The sequence below is a fragment of the Homo sapiens genome, chromosome 9 (genome assembly GCF_000001405.40).
Source record: "Homo sapiens chromosome 9, GRCh38.p14 Primary Assembly".
Classification (NCBI taxonomy): Eukaryota; Metazoa; Chordata; class Mammalia; order Primates; family Hominidae; genus Homo; species Homo sapiens.
Window position 1 is genome coordinate 82,160,986 of NC_000009.12, and position 23,722 is coordinate 82,184,707.

The 23,722-nt window shown below is 38.4% G+C and overlaps 1 long non-coding RNA gene across 3 annotated transcripts in view, besides 1 other annotated feature; it reads left to right on the forward strand.

The window, feature by feature from the left end:
• LOC105376107 (uncharacterized) overlaps window positions 1-23,722 on the forward strand; it is a 378,142-nt gene that overhangs the window by 183,741 nt on the left and 170,679 nt on the right. For 2 of the 3 annotated variants that reach the window (XR_002956915.2, XR_002956913.1), the window contains exon 1: window positions 6,729-6,789. The exons of the other annotated variant lie outside the window; for it this stretch is intronic. This is a non-coding gene — a long non-coding RNA (uncharacterized LOC105376107). Of the gene's footprint in view, window positions 1-6,728; window positions 6,790-23,722 lie in introns of those variants that run through there. 3 annotated transcript variants of the gene reach the window in all.
• Window positions 9,275-9,804: an enhancer, noted in NCBI's record as "NANOG hESC enhancer chr9:84785175-84785704 (GRCh37/hg19 assembly coordinates)". NCBI's record gives its function as "activates a minimal SCP1, AML or CMV promoter by ChIP-STARR-seq in primed H9 embryonic stem cells {active_cell/tissue: H9 hESC(primed)}" and the evidence as "EXISTENCE:reporter gene assay evidence [ECO:0000049][PMID:30033119]".

Here is a 23,722-nt window from a genome sequence, read left to right on the forward strand (position 1 = left end):
TCCTCATCTCACTAAGAATAAAAGCCCAAGTCCTTACCAGGGTCCACAGGGGTCCACCAGATTTAGTCCCCAGTTACCTTCTTACCTACCTCATTTCCCACCAGTCTCTACCTTATTCACTCTCTGCCTGCCACATTAGTTCCTAGTTTCTTTTTGTTTGTTTGTTTGTTTTTGAGACAGAGTCTTGTTCTGCTGCCCAGGCTGGAGTGCAGTGGCATGATCTCAGCTCACTGCAAGCTCCACCTCCCGGGTTCACACCATTCTCCTGCCTCAGCCTCCAAAGTAGCTGGGACTACAGGCGACTGCCACCATGCCTGGCTAATTTTTTGTATTTTCAGTAGAGATGGGGTTTCACCATGTTAGCCAGGATGGTCTCAATCTCCTGACCTCGTGTCTTGTCCACCTTGGGCCCCAAAGCATGCTCCTCCTCAGGGCTTTGACATGTGGCTGCCTGCAGTGCTCTTCTGTCAGTTACCTGTTTGGCTCTTTCCCTCAATCCTTCAGATATTCCATGATCTTCCATCAGGGCTTTGTGTCCACCAGCCCATCACTTTCTACTCTCTTATCTTGCTTTAATTTCCCCCTCACAGCGCTCATATGTCTAACAGGGTATATATTTATTCATTTGTTTATTAAGAACTCTTTGCAGTAATATAGAAACTTCATCAAGGCAGAGATTTGTTTTTCTCTACTGTATCCTAAGCGTCTAGAACAGTGTCAGATACATATTAGGTGTCCAACAAATATTAAGTAAGCTGAGGGTAATACCATTGAAACAGATGAACTAGAAGAAATAACCCTGAAGCCATGATAACTTTCAAAGGAGTAAGAAGGTACAAATTAATTTAAAAATGTATTGAGTATCATAAGTGCTCCAGGAACCATTCTAGATGTTGGGAATATAGTGTTCTGCTTTCATTCTCCCTGAAAGATACAGACTGTAAGCAAGTAAACAAATATAATTTACAGGAATTAGGCCTATGGAGAACATCTTAAAGATTGCAAAACAATAGGAAGTGATTGTGGAGTGTGGGGCATTAGATGGGGGTAGTTAGGCATACCTTCTCTGAGGGCATAACATTTGAGCTAAGACTTGAATCATAACGTTCCAGCTAAGTGACTTTTAGGGCAACAGTGAGGCAATGTTTTAGAATTCCCTTGTAGTGCCACCGTAGGGTAGTCTTTTCTCGCCATGAATGACCCTTGCCCATTCATGAGTATGCTAGCAGGGAGGGGCAGGGGAAGTGAGTGCTCCTGCACTTTCCTTTTTTAATTTAATTTAATTTAATTTATTCATTCATTTATTGATTTATTTTATGCTTTAAGTTCTGGGATACATGTGCAGAACGTGCAGGTTTGTTACACAGGTATACACGTGCCATGGTGGTTTGCTGCACCCATCAACCCATCATCTACATTCGGTATTTCTCCTAATGCTATCCCTCCCCTAGCACCCCACCCCCCGACAGGCCCCAGTGTGTGATGTTCCCCTCCCTGTGTCCATGTGTTCTCATTGTTCAACTCCCACTTATGAGTGAGAACATGCAGTGTTTGGTTTTCTGATCCTGTGTTAGTTTGCTGAGAATGATGGTTTCCAGCTTCATCCATGTCCCAACAAAGGACATGAACTCATCTTTTTTATGGCTGCATAGTATTCCATGATGTATATGTGCTACTTTTCTTTATCCAGTCTATCACTGATGGGCATTTGGGTTGGTACCAAGTCTTTGCTATTGTATATGTGCCACATTTTCTCTACCCAGTCTATCATTGATGAGCGTTTGGGTTGGTACCAAGTCTTTGCTATTGTGAATAGTGCTATAATAAATATACCTGTGCATGTGTCTTTATAGTAGAATGATTTATAATTCTTTGGGTATATACCCAGTAATGGGATTGCTGGGTCAAATGGTATTTCTAGTTCTAGATCCTTGAGGAATCGCCACACTGTCTTCCACAGTGGTTGAACTAATTTACTCTCCCACCAACAGTGTGAAAGAATTCCTATTTCTCCACATCCTCTCCAGCATCCGTTGTTTCCTGACTTTTTAATGATCGCCATTCTAACTGGCGTGAGATGGTATCTCATTGTGGTTTTGATATGCATTTCTCTAATGACCAGTGATGATGAGCTTTTTTTCATTTGTTTTTTGGCCACATAAATGTCTTCTTTTGAGAAGTATCTGTTCATATCCTTCACTCACTTTTTGATGGGGTTGTTTGTTTTTTCTTGTAAATTTGTTTAAGTTCCTTGTAGATTCTGGAGATTAGCCCTTTGTCAGATGGATAGATTGCAAAATTTTTCTCCCATTCTGTAGGTTGCCTATTCACTCTGATGGTAGTTTCTTTTGCTGTGCAGAAGCTCTTTAGTTTAATTAGGTCCCATTTGTCAATTTTGGGTTTTTTTGCTATTGCTTTTGGTGTTTTAGTCACGAAGTCTTTGCCAATGCCTATGTCCTGAATGGTGTTAACTAGGTTTTCTTCTAGGGTTTTTATGGTTTTAGGTCTTACATTTAAGTCTTTAATCTATCTTGAGTTAATTTTTGTATAAGGTGTAAGGAAGGGGTCCAGTTTCAGTTTTCTGCATATGGCTAGCCAGTTTTCCCAACACCATTTATTAAATAGGGAATCCTTTCCCCATTGCTTGTTTTTATCAGGTTTGTCAAAGATCAGGTGGTTGTAGATGTGTGGCATTATTTCTGAGGCCTTTGTTCTGCTCCATTGGTCTATATATCTGTTTTGGTACCAGTACCATGCTATTTTGGTTACTGTAGCCTTCTAGTATAGTTTGAAGTCAGGTAGCATGATGCCCCAGCTTTGTTCTTTTTGCTTAGGATTGTCTGGGCTATATGGCCTCTTTTTTGGTTCCATATGAAATTTAATGTAGTTTTTTCCAATTCTGTGAAGAAAGTCAATGATGGTAGCTTGATGGGGATAGCACTGAATCTATAAATTAGTGTGGGCAATATGGCCATTTTCACCATATTGGTTCTTCCTAGCCATAAGGATGGAATGTTTTTCCATTTGTTTGTGTTCTCTCTTATTTCCTTGAGCAGTGGTTTGTAGTTCTCCTTGAAGATGTCCTTCCCATCCCTTGTAAGTTTATTCCTAGGTGTAGTTTATTATTACTTAAGAATCAAAAGAAAGATCATAGGACTGCTAGAGTTTTCATGGAAAAGTCAAGGGAAGGATGACTTCTACTAACAAGGTTTAAAGAGATAGCAGGAGACAAAAATAATGATGATTTTAGGAATACCCTCCATTAGCCCTATAAGCTCATTGTGATGGTGAAAACTCTGTTTCCTTAGCCGAAGGTAAGCTGCAAGACAGCAGAATTCTTTACCATCTTACTCACCAGTTTCCATGGCTGCTGCATTTGTGCAGATTGTACGCTACATGATGGCAGCACAATTCAAGAGGATGTGATTCAAATCACAGACATCATAGATGTGCATGTTTATTGCCAAAATTATTCAGCAAAGGCAGTACAACACTCTCTTTCAATAAAATCAGGATATACAATGATTTCCAAACAGATATAAGTAAAATATCTTAAGGAAGTGAATTCTTAAAAAATACCTCCCAAGCTAATGATGGCCTGATATCTAGAGCCTTGAAGATTTCCTGACATATAGTGTATACTCAATAAATATTTGTGAATGAATGAATCCAAATATCCTAATTAATTTTCTATAAATCTATATATTAATGTGATGGCTAATATTTTTTAAAGCTCCAGAATTATTATATACCAATGAGGAAATTTGCAAAGTAGCTAGTAACATAATTAATATACAGAAATCAGTAGTCAGTAGACAAATGGAACAGATTAGAGACCCCAGAAATAAAGCCACACATCTACAGCCAAGTGGATCGTCAACAAAGCCAACAAAAATAAACAATGGAGAAAGGATATTCTATTCAATAAATTGTGCTGGGAAAACTGGCTAGCCATATGCACAAGAGTGAAACTGGACTGCTACTTCTCACTGTATATAAAAATTAACTCAAGATGGATTAAAGATTCAAGATGGATGTCACAATCTCAAATTATAAAAATCCTAGAAGAAAATGTAGGAAGTACTCTTCTAGATATTGGCCTAGGCAAATAATTTATGACTAAGTTCTCAAAAGCAGATGCAACAAAAAGAGAAATTGACAAGTGGGACCTAATTAAAGAGCTTCTGCCCAGCAAAAGAAACTATCAGCAGTGTAAACAGACAACCTACAGAATGAGAGAAAATATCTGCAAAGTACACATCTGTAAAAGGACTAATATCCAGAATCTGTAAGGAACTTAAACAGATCCACAAGCAAAAACCAAATAACCCCATTACAAAGTGAGCAAAGGACATGAACAGATACTTCTCAAAAGATATATATGTAGTGGCCAGAAAATATATGAAAAAATGCTCAACATTACTAATCATCAGAGAAATACAAGTTAAAACCACAATGAGATGCCATCTCACATCATTCAGAATGGTTATTATTAAAAAGTCAAAAAATAACAGATGCTGGTGAGGTTGCAGAGAAAAAGGAATGCTTATATACTCTTGGTGGGAATGCAAATTAGTTCAGCCACTGTGGAAAGCAATTTGGAGATTCCTCAAAAAACTAAAAATAGAACTACCATTTGAGCCAGGAATCCCATTACTGGTTATATACTCAAAGGAAAATAAATTATTCTACCAAAAAGACACCTGTACTCATATGTTTATTACAGCACTATTCACAATAGCAAAGACATGGAATCAACTCAGGTGCCCATCAGTGGTGGATTGGATAAAGAAGATGTGGTACATCACAGAATACTATGCAGCCATAAAAAAGCTCAGCATCACGCTCTTTGCAGCAACATGGATGCAGCTGGAGGCCATTATCTTAAACAAATTAACACAGAAACAGAAAACCAAATAACTCATGTTCTCATTTATAAGTGGGGGCTAAACGTTGGGTACACAGGGACATAAGGATGGGAACAATACATACTAGGGATTCTAAAAAAGGGGAGGGAGGGAAGTAGGGCAAGGGTTGAAAAACTACCTATCTGGTACTATATTCACGACTTGGGTGATGGGATCATTAGAAACCGAATTTTCAGCATTATGTATTATACCTGTGTTACAAACCTGCACATGTACCCCCGAATCTAAAATTAAATAAAATTTAGAAAGAAAGACAATAAGCTTGGGAAATCTTCTGTGAAGGAAATGTAAAAGTTTAATTGTTATAGGTTGAATTGTGCTACCCCCAACCCCATTCATATGTTGAAGTCCTTATCCCAAGTACCTCAGACTATGACTTATTTGGAAATGGGGTCACTGAAGATGTAATTAGAGAAGATGAAGTTATACTGGATAGGGTGGACCCCTTATCCAGTATGACTGATGGCCTTATGAAAAGGGGAAATTTGGGGACAGACTTACAGAGAAGGAGAATGCCATGTGAAGATGAAGGCAGAGACTGAGGTCATGCTTCTACAAGCCAAGGAATGCCAAAGATTGTTAGCAAATCTCCAGAAGCTAGGAGAGAAGGATGGAAGAGATTCTTTCTCAGAGTCATCAGAAGGAACGAACCTGTTAATACCCTGATTTCAGACTTCTAGTCTCCAGAACTGTGAAAGGATATGAGACAATATATTTCCATTGCTTAAGCCAACCAGTTTGTGATACTTTGTTATGGCAGCCCTGGCAAACTAATGCAGTAATAACACATGATAGAGAGTGACTTTAGATTAAGGGGTCAGGGAAGGGCTCTTGGAGAAGTTGACATTTAGGTGAGACTGGAACAATGAGAAAAAAACCAGCCTTAGAAGGACCCTGGGACAGGTATTCATTCAGAGGGAACAAGAGCAATCACTTAGAGGAGGAGAGTTGGGAGTCTTGTGACTGGTGGACTGGATAAATGACATTTTTTTTTTCCTGAATAAACATTTATTGACAAGTATTTTGGAAGAGTTAACACAGACTCAAACAGTAACCTTGTTACCCCCAGAGAGTAACTTGAACCTTTTGGTGTTTCTGTGATAGGTCAGCATATGTCTCTTTTGATAGTTCCACATGCCCAAGTATATAGGACTGAATTCAGTAGTTGTTCTCTTAATAGGATGAAATTTCAATTCAGCACTAAAATGGCAATTTGAGGGATTTCTGTTTTCTACTTTTCAATTAATTGCTTTGTACAAAGAGCAAGCACAGTGCCATGTGACTAAGACCTCTCTTAGTTAGAGCTGGAAAGGAACAAGGGAGATTACTGCAGTTTACAAGGGAACAGTCAAGAAATATGAAGGAGTTAAATCAGGGATCCCTAAGAAGAATGAAGACCCAGGAGTAGAACTCACTTTTTCTAATCCCAGTTGGGTGCAATTTCTGCTGGTCCTGCAACAGCCTCCTCCAGAATCTTCGTGGGCAGTGAATACATTTTTGTTGATGTGAGAACATCAAAACAGTGCCTTGATTTGGAAAATATAAAGCAAAGGGGAAAAGGCAATTTCTGGTAAGTGGAAGTAATTCTCGGCAGGCAATTCTTTTCCAGTTAGCGCTAAGGAATTTTGTTCATGTAGTGAGAATGAAAACACATTGAAACAAATAACCCAAGTTTTCCATAGCAGTTCCAGAAGACGAGGATATGGCTTGTTATTAATATTCTCTGCTTGATTGTTCCTTTCTGTTCTGCTGGAGATGAAAGTGCCCTGTGGCCCTACTCAAGCAGTTGTTCATTTATCTCCAGACAGGGCTGGAGGAGCAATTGGAGGAGCCCAGCAGGCTGGACACATGTGGAGAGTTGGTGAGAAGCCCATGAACATGACAGCCAAAGAGTGAGGCAGGCAAAGCTCCCCTTTCATGCCCTCTTTGTTTCCTTTTCTGCAGATACCTCTTCTAAGAAGGAAATTTATTTTTAATGATGATTACCATGTGTATTCACATTGAATTCTCACAGCATAGCTGGTACTTAAGTATTTTTATGTCCAGTTTTCTGAATTGAGCCTTGGGACTCAGAGGTTATGTCACCTACTTTATGGGGCATCATAAACTTAGCATAAAGTTTGTTGAAAACGTGGACTTTTTGATCCAGTCTGGTCTGGATTCAAATTCCAGCCTCATCCCTTACTAGCTGTGGGAAATTGGGCAAGTTACTGAAAACTTTCTGTAGCTTGGCTGGGTGTGGTGGTTCCTGCCTATAATCCCCGCACTTTGGGAGGCCGAGGTGGGTGGATAATGAGGTCAGGAGTTCAAGACCAGCCTGGCCAACATAGTGAAACCCCGTCTCCACTAAAAATACAAAAAAAAAAAAAAAAAAAAAAAAAAAAAAAACTAGCCGGGCATGGTGGCAGGTGCCTGAAGTCCCAGCTACTCGGGAGGCTGAGGCAGGAGAATGGCTTGAACCTGGTAAGCGGAGGTTGTGGTGAGCCCAGATCGTGCCACTGTACTCCAGCCTGGGCGACAGAGCAAGACTCTGTCTCAAAAACACACGTGCACACACACACACACACACACACACACAAAACCTTTCTGTAGCTCAGTTTTCCTATCTGTAAAATGGAGATAATAATACTAATAGTTCTTTTGTCCTAGGGTTGTTGGGAGGATTAAATGTATCACTATGTGTAGTGGTATTTGGAACACTGCCTGACAAATGATGATGAAGAAGCAGGAGCACGAACTCAGGCCTGTTTCACTTTAAGCCTCCAGTGCTGTTTGTACTATGCATAAGCTACTTCTCTTTTCAGAAGCCCAGCTTCCCTCATGACACCTGACTATTCTTCAGACATTTGCCTCCCTTCCCTCCCACCATAAGTTACCTTCCCTGAATGCCAGTTCTTCTGGAACTACCAGGTGTTTGGATTACTTAACCCGATGACTCACTGTAGGCTGAGATGTTACTGAGTACTCCTGGCTCGATGGTGTGCTTTTTATTATGCTGGTGGTTTGAGTTGTACAGGCTTGGAATAGGTTGTCTTAGAGGTTGAACAGCAAATGGTAGAGAGAGTGGACAGAGGATCCATGAGCTGGGCAAGAGATGGCTCTACTTTTCTATGTAAAGAGAAGACCAATGCAGGAAGTACAGTCATTGCAGCAAATTCTAGATGACAGATCTTTGTGCCACCAGGCCTTTACCTAACTCTCAAATATCTCACCATTTGTTAAAGGCCTTCCTTACTTGTGTGTAGGCCAGCCAGATCTGGCGGCAGTAAGTCATCTGAATAAAAGCTGGTCACTCCAGAATCTTTGTGGAAACTGATTGACTATTTTGATAGTCTTTTTGTGACTGAAACCATGTAAGATTTTCATTCATAGGTTAACATATTTTGGTGTTTGTTTTCTCAAGCTAAGCTAATTATTTATTTTAAAATTTATCTCAATCTATACCACAAGACTAGATGCTTGAATGATGGTTTGCCAAATAAGTAATTTCTTATTCAAAAGTTTGTTTCTCACTTTGGGAGGCCGAGGCGGGCGGATCACGAGGTCAGGAGATCGAGACCATCCCGGCTAAAACGGCGAAACCCCGTCTCTACTAAAAATACAAAAAATTAGCCGGGCGTAGTGGCGGGCGCCTGTAGTCCCAGCTACTTGGGAGGCTGAGGCAGGAGAATGGCGTGAACCCGGGAGGCGGAGCTTGCAGTGAGCCGAGATCCCGCCACTGCACTCCAGCCTGGGCGACAGAGCGAGACTCCGTCTCAAAAAAAAAAAAAAAAAGTTTGTTTCTGCCTAAACCTTTTTAGGCAGGAGAAGATTTTGAATGCAAACCCAGCCTGACCTCCTGATGGTGCAGAGGGTGCCCTGAAAGAAAAATTTTGGCAAGAATCAGAAAAGAAAACAAACCAATTTGGACTATCTTCTACTGTTAAAAACTGAACTAAACTGAACTAAGAAGGGAGGTGGGCTAAAAGGCTGCACATCTTTTAAGGAAACAAAGCGTGTGTGTGTGTGTGTGTGTGTGTGTGTGTGTGTGTGTGTGTGTACACTTTATTTCTGTTGACAGATGGGTCTTAGCTACCAAACTTGGAAGAAATGTAGGCAGTAAATCAGTTTTCCCATTTTATGACAGACTTTATCATGAAAGATGATTCTAAATGTAAACACAGTGGGTAAAATGCCACTTAGAGGGAATTTAATAAACATACTAATTTAGACCTCAGCAAGAGAGCACCTAAATATCAAGCATAATGATATACCAGAAATCAAATATTCAGGATATCTATTTTAATCTAAGAGGAAACAGAACTCTTTATCCTAATCTTGCTGTAAAGCCTTTGGCTTCCTAAAGTATGTGATCTTGTTAAATTAAAGGATTAAAGTGAATGCATCCTTTCTTTGGTATGTACTTACAACTAAATAAATAACATGCTTGTTATGACTGCAAACAAAATGAATTAAGTGAAACAAGACAGACAGAATGGACTTGCTGATGTCTTTGTTTTTGACAGCCTCTAATCCTGGAAACAGGAAGATGTTGAGATGAATAAACATTCTTTGTCTTTGTGAGCTCCCAAGTGGTTAAGTCTATGCCCAGAGTCATGCTAAGGAGTTCAGAAACTGTGACATCCAGAGACCTTGCATATGTATAAAGGAAATCTCTCCTTTCCATTGTCTTCTCTGTATCCTGCTTATCTGAAAATCCACTAATGCTTTAGCATTTGTTGCTCTCAAATAGAGTTAGGGGTGGGGGAGGGAGAAGAAAAATTCCTCGTGAGACTCTTCTGAAGAATTGTCCCCCTTGAATAGTGGTCCCAGTTTAGTCGCCGTCAGCTGTCACTGAACCTTTCAAACAAAAAAAAAGACCCATTGCTTCCCATGAAACCTCATTTTCAGCAACATTTAGCCCAGGGGCCACAGATGTGTGTCCCCTTTCTAAATGGAATGCTGTCCTGAGCCAAATATGTCAGCAGTTAAACGGCCCACAAACACACCACAAATATTTGTTTATTAGGAATCAAAATGTGAAGTGGGCTACAAAACCGAGGGCTAGATTATTAAGACCAGATTGAAAAGTGCTGTGGTGGTGCCTGGGTAAATATCACTAGTGGTACAATATTGAAAAGATTGGGAAGTCATCAACCAGCCCTTCAGAACTGAAACACATGATTTAACCACAAGCTGTACTTTATGAAATCTTAAACTGTAACACAAAGAGTGACCTAATTTAATCCATGTGGGCTACATGTTTGATGTCAACAGACTTTCCTTTTAAACAGTTCAGAGAATGCAACGGGGTCTTTAGTATTTAATAAAACCTGGACTGTTTCCTGCTAAGTCACTTATCTTGAGGGATTAATTATTTTTACATTATGATTGATATTCCATGGATTTTATGGGTTTTCCATACCTTTTTATGCATGTCCTTTTTGCAAGGGACAATTAACCATAAGTCTTAAAACATTAGTCTCCTGCAGGTGTAATGGATGTGTAAGTACGTCCTGAGGCAGACAGTACTGCTCTTGCTGACGGGCTTGTAAGAGACACAGAATGAAGACAATAGTTGCTGTCAGAAGTAATATACATGATGCTTGCTTCATACAGAGGCTACTTGTGGACTTAGCATGACAGATATGCACATATAGAAAAGTGCCTTCTAAACGACTCTTCTTAAAACAGTTTGATAATGCTTGTGGGCTGGAGCTTCCCCATAGTTTAAGTCCACAACATGTTTTTTACCAGAGTAACATTCTGGCAACATGATTATAAGTTTTTTCTTCTACTAGGTAGACATCTAGTCAGCTGTTGACCTTTTTTCTTTAACATTATGATCATTAGCCTTAAATATGCAAGATGAGCACATTTCACAAGTGTATATGAGCCTTTTTTTTTCTTTTTTTTTTCTTTTTTTGAGATGGAGTTTCACTCTTGTTGCCGAGGCTGGAGTGCAGTGGTGCAATCTTGGCTCACTGCAACCTCTGCCTGCCGGTTCAAGTGATTCTCCTGCCTCAGCCTCCAGAGTAGCTGGGATTACAGGTGCGTGCCACCACACTCAGCTAATTTTTGTATTTTTTTAAGTAGAGATGGGGTTTCACCATGTTGGCCAGGATGGTCTTGATCTATTGACCTTGTGATCCTCCCGCCTTGGCCTCCCAAAGTGCTGGGATTACAGGCATGACCCACTGTGCCTGGCCCCTATATGGGCCTTTTTAAAAGGCCCAGTGGGACTAAAATTTCTGGTATGTCTCAGTCCATCAAGAATAGTTGAAAGTGATACAGTGTCTGCCTTCGAGTAGCCCTGAGGATCTCTAGGTTGATAAAAGCAGGGATAAAATAACTAGTTTTTTGTTCTTCTTTTTTTTTAAAAAAAAAAAGGTAAGCAGGGGAAAACTCAGGCCTGTGCACCATCCTTAGCCATACTCGATCTTGTAGAACTTCGCTACTCAACCTGATGGTCTGTAGACCCCAGCATCAACATCACCAGAGGATTGGTTAGAAATGCAGACGGCTGCCCTTCCCAGACCCTACTGAATCAAAATCTGAATTTTAACAGTAATCCTAGGTGATTCATAGGCACAATTTAAGTTCAAGAGGCACTGCTTTAGAGGGCTTTTGGGCATGGTTTTAGGAGGCCATAACTAGTTGGGCTGATCCTTTAAAAAGTACCAAAGAGAAGGAACATTTTCTTAGTTGGATATTGTCTTTGTCTGTTTTGTGTTGCTCCAAAAGAATACCTGAGACTGGGTAATTTATAAAGAAAAGATGTTATTTAACTCACATTTTTCCTAGCTGAGAAGTTCAAGGGCATGGCCTTGGCTTCTGGTGAGGAATTTCATGCTTCCTCACAGCATGGTGGAGAAGGTCAAAGGGGAAGCAGAGAGGTGAAAAGGAGGGTAAACCTGAGGGGCATCCTAGTTTTATAGCACCCATTTTTGAGGAACTCATTCATCCCCATGAGAACTAATCCAGTATTTTAGTAGTGAGAACACACTCACTGTACCATAAGAGCAGAACCAAGCCATTCCTGAGGGATGCACCCCCATAATCCAAACACCTCCCACTAACCTCACCTCCTAACACCTTCACACTGGGGATCAGATTTCAACATATTTGGTGGGGGACAAACCATCCATATACAAGCCATTGCATCTGGATGTAACCCTGGAACATTAGAACAGATGAATTAGTATCAGGTGGTTTTGAGGTATTAAAAAAACTATATTTCAAATTAAGTAGTATAGGATGGTGTCCAGTATTGAACATGAACAAGAAAAGCCACTTTTTTTTTTTTATTCCTCTGAAAATGCCCGAGGCTGAGTACAGTAAGAAAGGAAGTAGGGTGGGCCCATTCTTGCTTCAGTTTTATTACAGCTTTAAAGTTGAACTCTGCTTTTCAATTTTGAATTTGAACATTCAAATATTTTGGACCAGCAGAGGCCTCATAATTTTAAGTTTTTCCTTTAACAGAAAATAAATAGGAGGAGTTTTTTTTCCCAGGGCCAGACCTTTAACATCTTAGGCTAATAGTATATAAAAACACACATTCTACATACTGGAGGAAATTTAATGTTCAAACCAAATTATAATATATTATTGTTTGTATTCACTCTGATGTTTATCATGTATAATAAAAGGAAATGCATCCTCATCAGATATCTTTCATTTTTAACTTATCGAAAATAAATTCACAAAGTAAAACATTTAAGGAGTAAAAGAGGTATAAAATGAAAAAAACAAAAAGCCTTTTTTTTCCTACCACTTCAGGCTCCCCTTCCAATACTGAACAAATAATTATAGTTAACAATCTGTTTTCAATATCTTTCCAGAGAAGTTTTAAAATTTTGCACACCCTCATCTATCTTTCTCTGTCTCAATCTTTTTCTGATTTTAATGTTTTTAAAATTTGCACAATGGAATTATATCATACAGATTTTATAGTACCTTGCTTTTTTCACATAATTTGTTTTGCAGAACTTCTGTGTCACCATCTACATATATGTGTCATTAAAAAAATTTTTTTATTTGGAAATAATTTCAAACTCACAGAAAAGTTGCAAGAATAAGAATGGTACATTATCCCCTTGCCTAGATTCATGTATTTGATAACATTCTTCCCTATCTGATTTATGATTTGAGCTCTGTCATCTCAATCTTCTTTCTGTCTCCCACTTTGTTTGTCTTTCTCTTTCTCTCTCTTTGTGTGTGTGTGTGTGAATGCGTGTGTGCGTGTGTGTGTGTATATATGGAAGGGTATATATTTTTTATCTGAATCATTGGAGAGTAAATTGCCTACATTATGGCACTTTGTCCCTAAATATTTCAGTGTATATTTTCTAAAAACAGGGAAATTATCTTACATTGCCATTATATTATTATCAGCTTCAGTAAATTTGACATTGGTACAATACTTTATTATCTGTATTTCAGTTTTATCAATTGACCTAACAATGAATTTTTCTAGCATTTGTTTTCCTCCAGTATGAAATTAAGTGTAGGACCAGGTATTACATTGAGTTGCCATGCCTTTTGGTTAGCTTTACATAGGAATATTGCCTTGGCCTTTCTTTGCTTCTCCTCTACCCCTACCCACACATTTTAAAATAGAAAATTCCTTTTTATGGATTTGTCTGATGTTTCCTTAGGATTAGATTTAGAATCTGTACTCCTTGGGCCGGGCGCGGCGGCTCATGCCTGTAATCTCAGCACTTTGGGAGGCCGAGGCGGGCGGATCATGAGGTCAGGAGATTGAGGCCATCCTGGCTAACATGGTGAAACCCCGTCTCTACTAAAAATACAAAAAATTAGCCAGGCGTGGTGGCGGGCGCCTGTAGTCCCAGCTACTCGGGAGGCTGAGGCAGGAGAATGGCGTGAACCCGAGAGGCGGAGCTTGCAGTGAGCCGAAATTGCGCCACTGCACTCTAGCCTGAGTGACAGAGTCAGACTCCCTCTCAAAAAAAAAAAAAAAAAGAAAAGAAAAGAGAAAGAATCTGTACTCCTTGCACTTATACTATGTAACTGACATGTCCTTTTCAAGATATTGCATCTGTAGACACATGATGTCCTTATGTTAATTTTAATTATTCATCAAAGGGTTATCCATTTTTTCTACTATATGTTAATAGTTTCTACTTTCTCCTTTGCAATTAATAAGCATTCTGTCGGGAGATAATTTAAGGCGATACAATCCTGTTGCTCATTAAAATTTCCCCCTCAGTTTAGCTTTCTTTGACCATTCTTGCCTGAAATAATCTTTAGTATGATAGTTGCAAAAGGATGACCTTCTGTCTTCAACACTCACTCAACATTTGTCTGTTAAACTTGGCATTTTACTGTAATCAAGAGCCATCCCTTCTCCCTTAATTAATTTGAATAGACTCTTTCTTTCCCCCCTAACTGATTATAATTCATTATTGAACTTAGTTTGGGCCTCCAATTTTCCAGTCAATTTCCAATTCCTGGAATTGCCTACTGAGTGATCTTTCAACTGACTCCTCTGTCCTTCTGTCATGTTCCAATCATTTTTTGTTTTGTTTTTTGAGCACTTTTCTATTTCTCATATAACAAGATGTTCTAGGATAATCTTGTATTTACCCCAGCCTTGGAATCAGCCACTTCCCAAAAAGCCCTGAGTGTTTTCAGTTAAGAATAATGTTAGATAGCAAGTGTGAGAACTAGGTGTGCTTATTTCCACTGGGGTGCCTTCCATTCATGAGATGAATCCCACTTTGTTGTGATGTATAAAATAGACTTGATTTTTTAGTGCAGTTTTAGGTTCACAGCAAAATTAAGTGGAAAGTACAGAGAGTTCCCATATACCATAGCCCCCCAACCAGTCTCCTCTGCTATCAATATCCAGCACCTGAGTGGTACATTTGTTATAATCAATGAACTTACATTGACATATCATTATCATCCAAAGAATTTTGTTCAAATTAGTGTTGTTCATTCTGTGGCCTTTGACAAAATGTTCAGTGACATGTATCCACCACTACAGTATCATACAGAATAGTTTCACTGCCCTAAAAAAATCTTCTGTGCTCTGTCTATTCATCCCTCCCTCTATTCTAACCCCTGACAACCACTTATCTTTTTATTGTCTCCATACTTTTCTCTTTTTGAGAATGTCGTATAGTTGGAATCATATAGTATCTAGCCTTTTCAGACTGGCTTCTTTCACTTAGTAATATGCATTTAAAACTTCACCAAGTCTTTTCATGGTGTTATTTCTTTTTAGTGCTGACTAATATTTCATTGTCTGGATGTACCATAGTTTGTTTATCCAAGCACCAATTGAAGGACAGATAGGTTGCTTCCAACCTGTGGCAATTATGAATAAAACTGTTAAAAACCTCTATGTGTAGGTTTTTGTGTGGACTTAGTTATTAACTGATTTGAGTAAATACCAAGGAGTGCAATTGCTGAATTGTATGGTAAGAGTATGTTTAGTTTTGTAACAAATTGCCAAACTCTTTTCCAAAGTGGCTGTACCATTTTGCATTCCTACTAGCAATGAACGAGAGTTCTTATTGCTCTGCATTCTTGCTAGCATTTGGTGTTAGTGTTTTGAATTTTGACCATTCCAAGGTATGCAGTGGTATCTCATTGGTGTTTTAATTTGCAATTCTCCAGTGACATAAGACATTTAGCATCCTTTTATATGCCCATTTGCCACCTGTGTATCTTTTTTGGTGAGATGTCTATTCATGTCTTTTGCTCATTTTTTATTCTGGTTGTCCATTTCCTTACTGTGGAGTATTATGAAGTTTTTTTTTGTATATTTTGGATAACAGCCCTTTTATCAGATGTGTCTTTTGCAAATATTTTCTTCTGTGGCTTGCCTTCTCATTCATTTAATATTATCCTACTTATAAATTGCTGAGTTTTTCTTTTTCTTTTTTTGTTTTTGAGATGGAGTCTTGCTCTGTTGCCGAGGCTGGAGTGCAGTGGCGCGGTCTTGGCTCACTGCAAGCTCTGCCTCCTAGGTTCACGCCATTCTCCTGCCTCAGCCTCCTGAGTAGCTGGGACTACCGGCGCCTGCCACCACGCCTGGCTAATTTTTTGCATTTTTAGTGGAGACAGGGTTTCACCGTGTTAGCCAGGATGGTCTCAATCTCCTGACCTTGTGATCCGCCTGCCTCGGCCTCCCAAAGTGCTGGAATTACAGGCATGAGCCACCGCACCCCGCCAAATTACTGAGTTTTATTTGCTAATTATTTTTAGTATGTTTGCACTTTTGTTTATGAAGAATATTTGTCCATGGCTTTCTTCTCTTTTAATGTCTTCGGTTTGTTATTAGAGTAACGCTTGCTTTATTAATGAGTTGGGAAGTGTACTGTCCTTTCTAGTACTATTTCTTCCTTAAATGTTTGGAGAATTCACTCATGAAACCATTTGGGCCTGGAGTTTTGTTTTTTAAATTTTATTTTGCATACAGTTTTTAACTGTTAATACAACTTATTTAATAGATGTAGAACTATTCAGTTATCCATTTAATTTTGAATGTATTTGATTGATGGTCTTTATTTATTTTTAATTGTATTGATTTCTGCTCTTATCTGTATAATTAACTTTCTTCTGCAGGTTTTGGATTTATTTTGCTGTTCTTTCTGTAGTTAAGGTGGAACTTTTGATTACTAATTTGAAACTTTTTAAATATAAAAATTTAATGTTGGGCGGCTGAGGTGGGCGGATCACGAGGTCAAGATATCGAGACCATCCTGGCCAACATGGTGAAACCCCATCTCTACTAAAAATACAAAAAATTAGCTGGACGTGGTGGCAGGCACCTGTAGTCACAGCTACTTGGGAGGCTGAGGTAGAAGAATCGCTTGAACCCAGGAGGCGGAGGTTGCAGTGAGCTGAGATTTCACCATTGCACTCCAATCTGGTGACAGAGCAAGACTCTGTCTCAAAAAAAAAAAGAAAATTAATGTGGTAAATTTTCCTCTAAGTACTGTTTTAGCTACATCCCACAAATTTTGACATATTATACTCTCATTTTGATTCATTTCAAAATATTTTTTAAAGTTGCTTTGATAGTTCCTTTTTGATCCAAATTTAGTAATATATATTTTTGATCTGTAAGTATATCATTTATTTTCCAAATGCTTGGAGTTTTCCAAGTGTCTTTTTGTTATTGACTTCTAGTTTAATTCAATTATGGTATGACATACTTTATTTGATTTATATTTGTTTTCAGGTTGGTCAGGTTTACTTTATGGTTCAAAATATGGTTTATCTCTGTCAATTTCCATGTGCACTTGAAAAAAAAGTGTGTTGTGCTTTTGCTTGATGTCATGTTCTATAGATATCAATTAGGTTAACTTGGTCATCTATATCCTTCCTGATTTTCTCCCACCTTATTCTATCAGTTACTGACAGGAATGTTGAAATCTCCAATTGTAATGACGTATTTGTTCATTTCATCTTTTAGTTCTATTGTGTTTTGTTTCATGTATTTTGAAGCTCTGTTTTTATGTGTTTACAATTTAGGATTATGTCTTGTTGGATAATTGATCTCTTTGTTATTATATAATGCCTTTCTTTATTCCTGATTATATTTCCTGTTCTGATGTCTACTTTGTCTGGTATTGTAGCTATTCCAGCTTTCTTTTAGCTAATGTTTGTCTTATATATCTTTTTTATCCTTTTACTTTTACTTTATCTATATCTTTATGTTTAAAGTGGATTACTTATAGACAGCATACAGATGGGTGTAGCTTTGAAATCTAATATGACAATCTCTTTTAGTTGTTGTGTTTAGACTGTTCACATTTAATGTGATTATTGATATGGTTGGATTAAAATCTGCTATCTTCAAAGCGCTTTCTATTTGTTCCATCTGTTATTTGTTTCTTATTTTCTTTTTCCTCCTTCTCTTATGTTAAGTACACACTTTTTAGGATTCTATTTTATGTTCTGTATTGAATTTTTTTTAGCAATTAGGATTTACAATATATAATTCTAATTATTAGAATCTACCTTGGAATATTTTTAATGCCATTTCATGTATACTGTAAAGACCTTACAACAGCATAGACCCAACCTGTGCTTCCCATTTTTTGTGGTACTGTTATGGTACATTTTATTTCTACAAATGCTTTAAACAAACAATTCATTGCTACCAAGTTTTTGCTTTTCACATTTATCTTTCAGAACAATTAAAACAGAAAAAATGAATTTTACTTGCATTTATTTCAAGTATTCTTTATTTCTTTGTATATTATATGTACATTATGTATATATATACACATATATGTATATGTGTATACTTATATACGTGTATATATAAATACATACATATATATACACACACATACACACACACATTTCTGTGTTGTATTATTCCTCCTTCTTTCTTTTTTTTTTTTAGGGGCAAGGTCTTGCTCTGTTGCCCAGGCTTCAGTGCAGTGGCACCATCATACCTCACAGCAGCCTTGAAGTCCTGGGCTTAACCTGTCTTTCCACCTCAGCCTCCTGAGTAGCTGGGATCACAGACATACACATTTTGTTTTTTCTTTAAATTTTTTTTAAGGGTAGGTCAGCTGGCAATAAATTTCTATAGTTTTTGTGTGCCTGTGAACATTTTTAGATTTTTATTTCTTTATTTTTGAAATTCATTTTTGCTGGGGATTGTATTTTGTTTTGATATTTTCATCTCTCAGTATTTTAGAGGTATTACTCTATTATCTTTGAGTTTGAATAATTTTTGAAGAAATGTCTATCTTTTAAAATCATTTTTCCTTCTAAAGTAATGTGTCTATTTTCTCTGGAGGCCTTGAAAGGTTTTTCTTGGTGTTTTGCTTTTAGGAATTTAAATATGATTTGCCTATGGTGTGTCTTTTGTTTTCTTTCCTGCATTTTTTTGTATCTGTGGTTTGGCATCTATCATTAATCTTGAAAAATTCTTGGTGGTTATTTTTTCAATTATTTCCTCTGTCCCATTCACTCTCTTCTCCTTCTGAGATTCCAGTCATTTGACATTGTCACATAGCTCTAGAATATTCTATACTTTATTTTTTCTTTCTGTTTTTATTTGGATAAATTTTTGACCCATTTTCTAGTTCACTGGTTCTTTCCTTGCCTGTGCCTACTCTACTTATGAGCCTGTTGAAGGCATTCTTCTTCTCTGTTACTATGCTTTTGAGTTCCATTTGATTCTTTCTATACTTTTGATCTAGGTGCTAAAATTACCCATCTGATATTACATGTTGTCCACATATTCCATTAGAGCCTTTAACATATTAATCAGCTGGGCGTGGTGGCTCATGCCTGTAATCCCAGCACTTTGAGAGGCTGAGGCAGGCGGCTTACCTGAGGTCAGGAATTCAAGACCAGCCTGTCCAACATGATGAAAGTCTGTCTCTACTAAAATTACAAAAATTAGTCGGGTGTGGTGGTGTGTGCAAATCCCAGCAACTTGGGAGGCTGAGGCAGGAGAATCACTTGAACCTGGGAGGTGGAGTTTGCTCAATCTCAGTGAGCTGAGATGGCTCCACTGCACTCCAGCCTGGGTGACAGAGCGACACTCCGTCTCAAAAAACAAAAACAAAAACAAACCATATTAATCATAGTTATTTTAAATTGCATGTCAGACATTTAACATCTTTGTTTAATCTCACTCCAGTTGTGATGGTAACTTGTCTTTTGGGCATGTATTTCTTCTTGCTTTTCATACACTTTGTATTTTTGTTGTTGTTGTTGAAAACTTAACATCTAGTGTAGAATGTTAGAGACTGAGGTAATTAATTTTTATACTTGGAAATGGCGATACAATTTCCTTCAACTAAGCCTTTAGTACCAGGATTTGAGATAATCTAATTGGGAGTTGGACTGGAATTGAGGTTTGCTGTTGCAATGATTACTCTGAGTGTAACATGAGCTTTATATTTGTTTAGGGATACCTTGTGTATAGGATAGGAGTTGGTTTGAGAGAGGAAGTTTATTCTCAATGATTGCTCTATCCTCAGCCTCAAGTCTTCCCTTTGTTCTGTGCCTCAGAGAGGTCTGTCTCTTGCATGCTGCTTGTGACTCAGTGCTGTTTAGCCAGGTAGTGGGGACTGAGGGGGCAGGGGGTTCTCTGTTGTTTTGTTCAGATCTCAGTCTTAGGCAGTCACTGTGTCCCTGTATCTTGGGAGTGTGGCCTTATCAGTTATCCTACCCTACCCCCAGTGATATTCTGAACTCTGCACGTATTCCTGCTCTTCCCTTAGGGGTCCAGGTTTATTTCTTGTTCTCTTCTCCCCAGCCGCAGTGGGCTTTAACAAATGTCCTAAGTGTGATGGCATTTTTGCTCTTCTCCCCACAGATTAAAGCTTTCCTCCCCCCACTCCCCATAGGTAAGATGGGAGAGAAGGGTCTGGGTAAATTTCTTACCCTTCCTCCAGTGATTGCTGTTCTCCTTCCTCAGTTCTGCACCAGAAGGAAGACTTTTTCAGGACTCCCGATTGCTTCTGTGAATGTTCAGTTGGACTTGTAAGGGAAAAAAGTCCCCTGTATTTGCTGCCACTTCGAGCTTCACCCTCCCATCAGTTTACTATTGGCCTCTAGGAATTTGCCTCTCTCTCTACCTGAACTCTTGTTACTGGTGTTTGACTGTATCTTACCCAGGTACGTTACTGTTCATTTCTTGTGTCTCCCTGTGTGTACCTCTTTCTCCCTGGATTCTGGGCCGGTTGGTTCCACTGTGACATTAGTATGCTAATAGATTCAAGAAAAATCATGAATTTGCTGTTTCTCTATTTTTTTCATTGAAATGTTGACAGTGATGCTCTTCTTACCTTTTTACATCTCTGGGCTGAGATTAAAAGTCTGCTATTGTTTTAAAAATTATAGTAGTGGATATGTATTTTCAGGAAGAAATAAAATAGGACAAACTATGCATATTCCAGAGGCAACTTCCCACTGTCAGTAAGAACAAAAAAAGAGATTGAGGAAAGCAAATAATGAGTAAAATACGGTCACATTCACATAGGATTACAGAGGGTTGGGTATGATGTTCTGAAATACCAAAGAAAAATATATGCGGCACCAATTCTTCCTTTGAGAGCTATTTACAAAACTTCTTAGAAATCAGTGTTTTGCAACCATATAGGGAGACGCCAAAAAGGAGGTATCACTGGCTTAGTCAGTATAATTTATGGATTCCAAACTTTTCTGCTTTATTACCTCTAAATTGTCATTAAAATCTAAATAATAAATGCTATTTATTTTTATTCATTAAATGACTAATTTGTTCTTCAGAATCAAACATGGACACTTTAATAAAATATTACTATAATTAAACATAATATTAATGTAGAGGGAGCCCAGGATTTGGAGGCAATAGAAGGGAGAAAGGAAGATTCATTTGGAAATAACTGTTTTTAAAAACAAAAATACCTCTAGAACACTGAACAAATATGAGCCATTCTTAGCTAAGAACTGATGGATTAACCTAGTCAAAACAGTGAGACCTTGTCTCTACAAAAAAAAAAGAAAAAAAAAATTAACCTGGCACAGTGGTGTGCACCTGTAGACCCAGCTACTTGAGATGCTGAAGCAGGAGGATCACTTGAGCCCAGGAGCTCAAGGCTGCAGGGACCTGTGATTGTGCCTCTGTGCTTCAGCTTGGGCGACAGAGCGAGACTCTGTCTCTAAAACAAACAAACAACAACAACAACAAACTGGTGGATTGTTGGGACTGTTGGCTAGCGGAGAAAGAACTGGCCTAAGAGCCTGGAAACTGGAGCTTGCTTCTCTGTGTAACTTTTAGCAGATTAATTCATATTTCAAAATCTCACGTATTCTAAATATCAAAAGATCTGTAACATTCCTCTTGCAGTAATGATTGTTGGAGTATGGATACTGTCTCCTGATATCTAATGTCTTCCGAAAGCCTGCATGGATACCCATAATAAACTACTGTCTACAATTTGTTATATGGCTTCACAGCCTACACCCGATCCGTGCACTTTTCCTCATGTTTCACCTGGTTGTATACTAGGTATTTGCAGTTCTCAGATGTTCATGTTGTTGATTGCTACAGGTTGTCCTGAAGTTAGACTCTAACCTCACCTGGAACCCAGCTGAAAGCTGAAATTTTTACAGTTGTGCAGAGTTTTCCTCTAGTGATTGAAAGTATGGTGGAATTGCTTCATTGCCTCATATTTTGGGGATAAAGACTCTTGGAGCGCACAGGCTCATATGATATAATAGTTTCTAGATACTCAAATCTAACTTGTGGAATATTACAAAGAAATCTTATTTAAGTACCTTCAGAAGGAAAAGGAAGTCTCTTCCATGCCCTGAAACAAAATAAAATGATCTTGACTATAGAAACACAAGGACTGTGTTGTATTATCTGCAGACACAGGGGAAAATATTGGAGGCTACATAAATTAAGTAGGTGTGAGCTGTTTGCCAAACTTGAGGGAAGTGAGTGCTCTCTGCAGAAGGAAGCATCATGGTAGAGAGGGAAGGAAGTCAGCTTTTCTGTAAGTACTCACAGCAGAGTCAGGAGCACCTGTCAGGGCAGCAGAACTGTAGCATCCTGACAGGTGTTAAAGGAAAGTTGGAGTCTTTGATTCATGGGACCCAGTACTCAAGTTTCAAAGCTTTTGTCCAGTTTATATAGAAATATGGGCTCTGTTGAAAGAAAAGCTGGAAAAGTGACAACATTCTAGCCAGACTTGCAAAAGTTGTTATTTCATGTGTCTGTTTCATGTGTCTGTTGAGCAAGTTTTGGAGGTGCCATTGTGCTTAGTGTGAAGAAGTTATTACTGATTAGTAATGCTTACTGTGAGCCTAGAATGGAGACTCTGATCCCTGGCCTTTTGAAGATCTCCAAGAGGGTTGCATTTCATTATTGAAGCAAACTTGGGACATTGTTTATAAACCAACTAGGAATACAGTCTTCCCCCCCCCTTATTCATGGTTTTGCTTCCTCTGGTTTCAGTTACCAGCAGTCCACTGTAGTCTGAAAATATTAAATGGAAAATTTCAGAAATAAATAATTCCTAAGTTTTAAATTGCATGCTGTTCTGAGTAGTGTGATGAAATCTCCTTCCATCCTGCTCCATCCCGCCTAGGATGTGAATCACCCCTCTGTCCGGTGTGTCTGTGCTGAAGACCCTCCCTGCCTATTATGCGCTTAGTAGCCATCTCTGTTATCAAAGTGGCTGTCATGGTATCACAGTGCTTGTGTTTAAGTCACCTTTATTTTTCTCCATAATGGCTTCAAAGTGCAAGAGTAGTGGTGCTGGCATGTTGTTATAATTGTTCTACTTTATTATTAGTTATTGTTGTTAATCTTGGACAGTGCCTTATTTATATTAAACTTTATCATAGGTATGTATGTATAGGAAATAACATATTATAAAAAGGATTCAGTACTATCTGCCATTTCAGGCATCCACTAGGTATCTTGGAACATATCCTCCTTGGATAAGGGGCAACTGCCATAATAAGTATATTTTAATAAATCGTAAATGCTTAGAGATTTTACCTGTCCCCCTGAAACTTTTCAGAGCTCACGTTTGTTTTTATCTTCGTACTGTCTAATTGAAAATTTTAAATAACCCCTTTTTCCACCACAACACAATTTAAAAATCTACTTTCCCTTTTCATTCTTCTGTAGACTTGAATGTAGAAAGTCTTATAAAATATGCATTTGTACAGGCTGCCCTATTTTTTTAGTTGCTGTACTAATTTGACTATAAGCTCTTTAAGCTTTGCACCCACAGAGAAAAGGTGTTAACCAGATTCAGCAGAAAATAGCAGAGAGGACCGTAGAATGCTTGCCTTGCTGTCTTGATGTCCAT